Source organism: Homo sapiens, chromosome 9, assembly GCF_000001405.40.
Source record: "Homo sapiens chromosome 9, GRCh38.p14 Primary Assembly".
Classification (NCBI taxonomy): Eukaryota; Metazoa; Chordata; class Mammalia; order Primates; family Hominidae; genus Homo; species Homo sapiens.
In genome coordinates this window covers 135,133,985-135,143,278 of record NC_000009.12, presented here as the reverse complement: position 1 = coordinate 135,143,278, position 9,294 = coordinate 135,133,985, and the positions used below count along the sequence as shown (strand labels likewise).

Below are 9,294 nucleotides of genomic sequence, written 5' to 3'. Positions count from 1 at the left end.
GTATTGTCTTCTGTTTGTGTCCCCTTCACTTCCCTTCAGAGGAACTCACCCTGCTGACACTCTGATCTTAGAGTTCTGGCTTCCGGAACTGTGAGAAAATACATTTCATTGATTGAGCTGCCCAGCTTGTGGTACTTTGCATGGCAGCCCCAGCAAATTAAAACCGAGCTGCTTCCAAGAGAAGGGCCCCAGAGAGGCTTGGAGGCTCCGACTGGGGCTGCTGGGGGAACCCCTAGTCCTCCTGCACACTCCAGCTTTGACAACACTTTCTCCTGCCACAAATATTGCTAGAGCTTCTATCATGTGCCAGGACCTGTTTTAGACTCTGGGGATTTGGCAGAGAACAAAACAAAGTCCCTTTCTCAGAGCTTAAAGCTGAGTGAGTAAAGATGGGAAACAATGAGTAGGTAACATGGCTGATGGTGAAATGCACTGTGTGGAAGCTAAAGTAAGGGAAGTGGACAGAGACAGAGGCCGATGCTATTTTGGTCTTGGTTCTGGAAGGCTTTTCCCCTAAGGTGACATTCAGTGGAAGCCAGGCATCAATCCTGGTCTCTATTTGGGAGAAGAGTCTTGTGTGTGTGTTCTTTCATTAGCTCACTCATCAATTCTTACATACAACAAAAGTTTGTTTTATTTCTCCTGCCTCAGGGCAGGCAAGCCCCGCAATTGGGGCTTAGCCTGGGAAGGATCTTGGCTTTGCTCAGGAAAGAATTCAGGAGGCAGTCGGTGGTAGAAGGAAGCGACTTTATTGAGGCAGCAGTGTTGCAGTTCCATGACTGCTCCTGCAGAGCACGGCTACCCCACAGGCAACGTGCTGAGAGCGGCTGAAGGCAGTTCTGCAGTCATGTTTATACTCATTTTTAACTATATGCAAATCTGGATAGACAGATGAATGGATGAATGGATGAGTGGATGAGTGGATGGATGGACAGATGATGGATGAATGTGGATGGATGGGCTATTCATCAATTTCTAGAAAAGGGGCAGTAATTTCCAGGTCATTGCCATGGAAAGGGGTGGTAACTTTCAGGTGTTGCCATGACAATGATGGGCATGTTATGGAAAGGTGCTTTTGGTGCCTCTTCCCTGTTTCAGCTAGCCTCCAATGTGGTCCAGAGTTGAGTCCTGCCTCCTAACTCATTACTAAATGTTGGAGGCTCTTTCTTAGGCCCTAAAGATACATCAACAAACACAGCAGACAAGCCTCAGATTGGGGGAGGCAGATGGACAGTGAACAAGTACATAAGTAAACATCTAGAATCTGTGCCAGGTGGTGATGAGCCCCATGGAGAAGAATGCCACAGGGGATGGGGAGGGAGCTAGGAGTAAGTGTCTCCACTGAGTGGTCAGTGAGGCTGAATGGATAGGATGCCACTGGATGACTCAGCCCCATTCCATCATCCATCTATCCATCATCCATCCATCCATCATCCATTCATCACCCATCCATCCATCCATCCATCATCTATCCATCCATCCATCCACTAATCCATCCATCTATTCATCTATCCATCCATCCATCCATCATCTATCCATCCATCCATCCACTAATCCATCCATCTATTCATCCATCCATCTATCATCCATTCATCACCCATCCAGCCATCCATCATCTATCCATCCATCCATCCACTCATCCATCCATCTATTCATCTATCCGTCCATCATCCATCTATCATCCATTCATCCATCATCCATCTGTCCACTCATCCATCCATTCATCTATCCATCCATCATTCATTCATCCATTCATCATCCATCATTCATCCATCCCTCATCTACACGTCTATCATCTATCCATCTGTTCATGTATCCATCCATCATCCATCATCCATTCATCCATCTATCTTCCATCCATCACCCATTCATCCATCTATCCATCCATCACCCATCATCCATTCACCCATCCCTCATCTATCCATCCATCATCTGTCCATTCATCAACCATCATTCATCCATCCACTCATCTATTCACCTATCCATCCATCATCCATTCATCCATCTATCTCCTATCCATCATCCATCCATCCATCCATCCATCATCCATTCATCCATCCACTCATCCATCCATCCATTCATCTATCCATCCATATATTTACCCATCATCCATCCATCCATCCGCTTATCCTTTCATCCATCCATCAGCCATCCATCCATCCATACATCCTGTGAACAAATGTTTTTGTCTTCTGAGTAGATGGTATCATGAGTGTTGGGGCTATATCAGTGAACAGGACAGAGCTGGCCCTGCTCTCATGGAGCTAGATTCCATTGGTGGAGACAGATAATAGAGATGAAATAATTGCAAGTGAGAAGAGAGTGTTTCGGGACCATGGGGTGCCTAGCAGGGCACGGTTGCTTCCCTGGGTACCTTGGTCTCTGGTCCAGAACCCATTGGTCACTTATCTATTTTCATCCTGCAGAATGGGGACTCCTAGAAGCCAGAGGCCATGTTCTCTTCATCTCAGGACCCCCTTCACCAGCACCAGTCTTTCTGACCCCCAGCCAGGACCCAGTGCATAAGAAATGTGAATTACTGAGCCAGCTCTGGCTGAGCCTGGATGGTGGGTAAGATGAGGATCCACAGAGAAGCCAGGGCAGAGAAGGGCATTCTGAGCAGGGGCACCAGCCCGAGCAAAGATGGGAGAAGAGGCAATGCACACCTGTGTGCAGAGAGGGAGCTGCAGGGGAGAGCAGCCCAGGCTGGGGCAACCTGAGGAAGCAACCACAGTGTAGGGTGGGGCCCAGAAGGCCTGGACTGCTGCCTGAAGAGGCCGGTGACAAGATGAAACCCAGTGGGTGCTGAGTTGGTGGAGAGGTCCCCAGGCAGGACAGAGCATGTGGTGCCGTGTGGTGCTGTGTGGGAGTGAGGGGAGGGCATGGCCCAGTGCAGGTGGAGAGGCACCCAGGGAGAGAACTGCCTGTCCCTCGCAGCACTCAAGTGCCTCCGTGTCCCCCATCAAACAGCAATAAGCTGCTCCTTTTTTGGAGATGCCACCAGGGAGGCGGGGACACGCAGAATAATAGATGGAAGGTCCTTTCATTGTCCAGAGGCCCCAGCCTCATGGCTGACACCAGCTTCTGAGAAGTGTCGTATGCTGTGCTCATCTGTTCCTGAGACAAGCAGATCTTGAGGAGGAGACAGATCTCCCCACATGCCCCCTTCCTTTCCCCTGCAGTGCTGGGTGAATGGCACCCATGGGAGCGGGTGGGGGGGCGTGGCTGCATGCAGCTCACATGTTTACATTTGGTTCTGCTCCAAAGCAGCAATGGCAGCTCATGTCTTGTACCATCTCTCCACCCCTAACAACTCAAAACTCCAGCTGGAATTGCCAGGAGGCTTCTAAAGCTTTCTGAGACAAAAGGATAATTTACTGAAAAGCCCAGAAGCATGGAGGGGACTGGGTGGGACTGGCATGTGTGTGATGCCTCCCTCCTTTCCCTGCCTGGTTCCAGGCTCTATCTGCCCACTGGCTGGGCCCCGCTCAAGTCTGGTGTGAGCTCTGTCTGACCATGTGACAGGGATGCTGACCAAATATGACAGGGTGTGGGAAGGCTGGAGTAGACAGCTGTTCACCTCCTCCTCTTTTTCCCCAGTTAGAAAATCCAGGGTTTTTGGCTGGCCTCATGACCACCCAGTATAAAGACTACATTTCCCAGCCTCCCTTGCAGCAGTAGGTAGTCATGTGACTCAGTATTGACAAATAGGATATGCAGAAGTGTCATATGACAGCCCCTGGATACCATCCCTAAAAGGCAATTTGTGAATACACTGCGACTCTTTTCTTCTTTGCCCCATCCTTCCTGGAACAGAGATGTGGTGGCTTGAGCTTCAGCTGCCATCCTGGGCCATGAAGACAAAAGCCACATCTAGGGATGGCAGAGCAGATGCTGGAAGGCTCTTTGTCCTGGTAGCTGAACTGCCAAACCACCCCTGGGCTGCCCACAGGAAGTCTAGTCTTCACAGAGAGAGTGTCTCCGTGGATGTGATCTTGCTTCTGAGTCGGGCAACCTGAAGTGGAGAAAGCTCTCCCAGCAGAGGGAATAGCCTGCACCAAGGCCTGGTGTTTAGAGCAAGGTGTTCAGGCTGAGAATGGTTGGAGTCTGGGAAGGACAGTGTGGAGGGAATGAACCTGGGTATTCTTGGGGCAAGGGAGGTGGGTGGTCTGTGTACGCAGCTGCTTTGGGGTCCCGCCTGCCTCTTCCATGCAAACTCATCCTCAGGAAAGGGTTCCATACACATGACATTGCACACACCTGCAATGTCAACATAAGTCCTAGGGTGACTCTCCCACCCCAAAACTGAATAAGATGTTCTGTCCCCCAAGAAGGGGCTTCAGACTTCACCAAGGAGAAGTATTTGAGGTGGGCATGTCTTCCTGCCTGAACCCCATCACTGGCATGAGGCCTGGTAAAATTCTGGGCTCCAGATCCAGCCCAGCCTCTCAAGGACTTACATTAACAGTCAGCTCCACCCTACACCCCTCCGTGGTGAAGATCAGACCCCACAACTGCTTCATGTCAGGTCAGCTGTGGAGGGAGCGGTTTCCAGGCACAGAGGGGCTCTCAGGGTCCCAAGTCACCATGGTGTTGCTGTGGGCCCCTCCACTCGTGGTTGGTAACCCAAGCGTCCGCTCTCAAAAGGGGCTGAGAGAACCTGCAGGAGCAGGGCCAAGAGGTGGTGTCTGGGTGGACCCACTCACTTCTCGGAGCCTCGGGGTCCCAGGCTGGTAGGATGGAGTAGGGGGTGAGACCTGGAGGGCAGAGGACTTGATGCAGCACAGGAGCTGGGGAGGCTGGCTTGGTCTCCCTGTCTCATCCCATTTATTTCTCATCTGAACAGGACTCGTGTCCCCCTGGACTTGAGCTCTTTGGGGGCCAGGATGGGTTTGGTCTGTCCTTAGGCCCACCCATTGCAGTCATTCTTCCCAGAATGGGGGTCAGCAGATCTTTGTTAAGCAATTCTTTCAAAGTCAAATGCTGTTCCCTTTGTTCCGATCAGGGCTCTAACCATCCCTGCCTGCCTCATCTGAGCTCACATTCTCCATTCCTGTGTTATCAGTTTCACCCTCCACCTAAATTAACATGCAGCAGCTGTGGCTGTTCCCAAGGGGTCTTCGTGGCCAGACTGTAAGCTCTGAAGCACAGGGACCATGTATGTCTTACTTGCTGTTTGAATGCAGCCAAATCCCTTGGCTCAGAGAGGTTCCCCAGATGTTGGGTGAAGGAAGGAGGCAGGGGTAGAGTTGTGGGGGTGGGGATGCTAAGGGTCCCTTCATAGAAGGAAGGCTTGACTCACACTATAGGGACAGCTGAGTTCTCCAGATTCTGCCTCTTCTTCCCATGTGTGGACCAGGCTCCTCCCTCCTCTGGGTCTCAGTGAGGCCACCCTATGATCTATACCACGAGGGGTACCTGGGATCCCCAAGACCTCTTCTTACAGCTCCGCCAGCCAGGCTCTGGCTGCTGACAGCCCAGCACGTGGGGTCACCTCCCTGGTGATGCACGTTTCTCTGAGCTGAGTGGAGCCGAGCATCACAGAGGATTTTTCCATTGCCTCCTCCTGCTGCAGCCTCTGCCTCCAACAGTAACTTAATTAGCTCGCTGTTTTCCAAACAGGCAAAGCGTGACTCAGCACTTTCATGGGAGGTCTAAATTTGTCACAACCCCCTAGGTGTCTTTTAGCCAAATCCTTCGGGAAATTAGCTCATGGGGTTAGAAAAGGGATTTGGCGGTGGTTTCTGGCAGCTCTAGGGCCCCCCACAGGGCCAGGGCGGGTCCCTGTCCACAGACCTTGCTCCTGTGGGCTCCCTGCAGGGCAGGGTCACAGATGGCCTCAGATCCCTTCCCCTTGTTCCTTCCTCCCTCCCTGCCCCCAGTGGGGGCCTCAATCCCCATGGCTGGAAGTTAAAAAACAAGGTCACCAGCGTGCTGTGGATCCACCCCAGGCTCAAGCCTGAAAAGCGTGGGTTCTCCAGGGTGTCCAGGGCACCGCCTCTCTTACCCCTTCCAGGCTTCACCAAAGAGCAGCTGGAGCCCAGGGGGCTGCCTCTTGTCTTCTGTGAATGGCAGGGGTCTCTGACTAACTTGCCTCGAGGCAGAGGTCAGAGGCCATGGGCTCCCTCCCCTCGTTTCCTCCCTCTCCTTAAGGCCGGCAGCATCTTCTCGCCTCCAACCCCCTGGCCGGTCCTCATGTCTTCCCTCTGACGCTGAGCCTCCTAACTCCCTTTTATAAGGACCCTTGAGCTTCCATAGGGCCTGTGCAGATGATCCAGAATAATCTCCCTTTTCCATGAAATCCTTAACTTAAGCTCATCTGCAAAGCCTCTTTAGATAGGAACATTCACAGGTTCTGGGGAAGAGGATATGGCATCTTTCTGTCTGCCACAGTCACAGGGGCTTCTGCCAGTACTCACCCGGCTAGATCCCATCATCCTAGCTTCATCTCAGCCTGAGAACAGCACGGGGGGGCGGTCCTTGAATAAAGCCCACCCGGCCTCAGCTCCAAGGAGGGGCCGATGTCATGAAGGTGCCCCTGCCTGATAAGAGGCAGCGAGTCTCCCTGTCATCACTGGCTGCAGAACAGAATTATGGGTGTGGAATAAATTACATGCTAACATGCATGGTCACTCCCTGCTTCTCCTGCCATCAATAAGCACTACATCATATGTCCAGATGCTCAGAAACAGCCGACAGGTTTCAGTATCAGCACTGCCAAAACCGTGGTGGAGGCCCTCCCAAAGGCAAGAGCAGCCAAGCTCTGCGGCCTGTATCAGAGGTGTGGCTAGCCAGACTGCCTCCCTGGCACCACTGCCCTGCTCTCTGCTTGGGGTCCTCTGTCAGGGCCCCGGTCCTGGTCTGAGCTGCACCCCCGTCCCCACCTCTCCCTGGTCTCCTGAGGAATCGTGTTTGCTATTTTTCCGCAGAAACAGAGGTGGGAGTCTGTGTGGCTTGGGCCTGGCCTGGCTGCTGCTGAGAGCCCCCAGCCACCAAGTGAACTGTTGGGCACCAGCCACAGGCCTCCCAGCTTCTCAGTCAGACTTGGCCTAGAGGGGAGACCCCAGTTCTGGCTCTGGCTCAGCCTTCCCCGGTTTGAATTCAGCGAGTCACCTGATTTTGGTTTTCCAGAGTGGAGACTACAGTGATGATGCAAACAGCCTGCTTCACGGCTGCTCCCCATCAGCCCGGACCTGTCATCAGCCTTGACCTGTCTTCTGAAAAACACTCCATCCCTGTCCTCCCTGTGTCCTGGAGGAGGGACCTGAAGCCCGTCAGTGTGCCCCCTGCAGTGGGTGAGCTGTGGCAGCCAGCTCGCAGGCTTGAAGGCAATGGGGCCCACAGCCTGTGGCCCCCAGGGATGCCATCACCCTAGACAGGGCCCACAACAAGCTGGCTGTGTACTTAAGAAAGTCACTCGCGTCTGCCCGTTTATCCACTTTGTGGATGTTGGGTTGGAAACAGTCACCCAGCCAGCCCTCTCCTTTTATAGAAGATTTAAGAGAGGGCACCTGGCAGGGCCACGCCCTTGGTGTCTGCAACACGGTTTGTGGGGGTGGGGGCGGAACGAGCCGCAGCGGGCTCTGCCCTGGGCCAAGTGCTAGGTGGGCTGTGCGTCGAATCTTCCCAGCTAGAAAACTCCAGTGAGCCTCTCCATATGTGTGGCAAAGACTTGAGCTCAGAGTGGGTAAGTCACCTGCTCAAGGTCACCCAGCACTGCATGCTGGCCTCTCAGAAAAGTCAGCCTTTCCCAGATGTGGCCTGAGAGGTATGCAGAGATGCATTTTTTATTTTAATAATGTCAGAAACAGGTCCCCTTTTCTTCTCATTTCCTGCTTCACTGGTATCCTGAAACCACACCTCCCAGCCTCCCTTGCACTAGGCTGTGGCCGCATGACTGACTCTAGCCAAGGAAGTGTGGGTGGAGCCTTCCTCTTCTGCAGAGACCCTGGAGGCTCACAGATGGAGATGCCTGGATCCCTGCGGCACCCTATGGAAGAGAGAGGAGAGGATGAGACCTGGAGGAATTATCTACTACCATTTATTGTGAAGTATCAGAAAAAATATAGCCTGCCCATATATATATATATAACCATGGGTTAGAGATACTGTTGCTAAAATGCGGTTACGAAATAGGGTGAGGGAATTCTCTTTCTAAAACTGTTAAGTAAATAGCACGGGTGGTCCTTGGAAATGGCGTATCTGGAAGGTGACTGTGAGGATGTTTGGGAACGCCAGCACTGGGCTCTCCTGCTTCCCCAGCAGAAAGAAGGCGCTTCCCCGAGGCTCAGGGCCAGCATGGGGTTGGCATCTTTTGCCTCTTCCCTGGCAGGTGCCTTTTAGAAAACCCAATCTCCCCTCTCAGGACCTCTGTCCTCGTGCCCTCTGGCAGCCTCAGGGAAATTTGGGCTGACTTCTCTCCCAATTTAGAAGTCAACCATTTTATATCCAGTAAGGGAGAACAAGGCTTCTCTGAAACTCATCTCCCTGATTTATGCAGTCAGCGAATTCCACGAAGCTCACTGTGGCCAGTGCTTTCTGTGGCCCTTTTAGAGGCACGATCTATTTTACGACTCATTTAAGAAAGAGACGGGAAAATGCATGCTTTTCCTCACATAGGAAATCGGCAAGCCCAGTGCTTCCAATCAGTAAAATCATATTCTGCTGACTTTGAGAAGGGGCTGAAATACCATCCTCTGGGTGAGCTCTGACGGCGGGAGCTGGCGGGGTGGTCCGGAGCCAGAGACGTTTCTCGGTCGTGCTGCTGACGTGTTGAAAAACGACCTGGAGCTGCGCAAACAGATGGTCTGGGGCGGGGTGGGGCCTCCGAGCAGTGCTGGAGAAATCACCCCGGCTCGGCTGGTGCCTGCTCCCCAGGGGCGAGGCGCGGCCTGGCAGATTGCCCATTAATGAAACTCAGTGGGCAGAGGCTGCTGAGGGACACGGATTCCCACTCCCCGGGGGAGGGGGTGGAAATGGCTTCCTCCCTCTGCTTCCCTACCACCAGTAGTGGGGAGCTCACCATGCTTAGAAGACTCTTCCTTGCCTGGAGTTCGGGCCTCCTCCCTGCACCTACCACCCTAGTGGCCCCAAGTCTTAAGGCTGAAGGTAAATCCTGTGTCCTTCAGAAGCAAAGGCTGCAACCGATACCAAACAGAGGTGGCCAGCGCGGGCCATCCCTGGGATACCTAGCTTGGCAGAAGGTCATTCTCAGTTGTAGACTCCCTGCCCCCCTGGCATGCTGATACTGGGTATGAGGCCTGGCACCTGCCAGGTTCCGAGTCCATGCCGGAT

At 53.0% G+C, this 9,294-nt stretch overlaps 3 annotated features.

Moving 5' to 3' along the window:
• Nucleotides 5,473-6,218: an enhancer, noted in NCBI's record as "H3K27ac-H3K4me1 hESC enhancer chr9:138028907-138029652 (GRCh37/hg19 assembly coordinates)". NCBI's record gives its function as "activates a minimal SCP1, AML or CMV promoter by ChIP-STARR-seq in primed H9 embryonic stem cells {active_cell/tissue: H9 hESC(primed)}" and the evidence as "EXISTENCE:reporter gene assay evidence [ECO:0000049][PMID:30033119]".
• Nucleotides 6,219-6,962: an enhancer, noted in NCBI's record as "H3K27ac-H3K4me1 hESC enhancer chr9:138028163-138028906 (GRCh37/hg19 assembly coordinates)". NCBI's record gives its function as "activates a minimal SCP1, AML or CMV promoter by ChIP-STARR-seq in naive H9 embryonic stem cells {active_cell/tissue: H9 hESC(naive)}" and the evidence as "EXISTENCE:reporter gene assay evidence [ECO:0000049][PMID:30033119]".
• Nucleotides 8,355-9,156: an enhancer, noted in NCBI's record as "H3K4me1 hESC enhancer chr9:138025969-138026770 (GRCh37/hg19 assembly coordinates)". NCBI's record gives its function as "activates a minimal SCP1, AML or CMV promoter by ChIP-STARR-seq in naive and primed H9 embryonic stem cells {active_cell/tissue: H9 hESC(naive and primed)}" and the evidence as "EXISTENCE:reporter gene assay evidence [ECO:0000049][PMID:30033119]".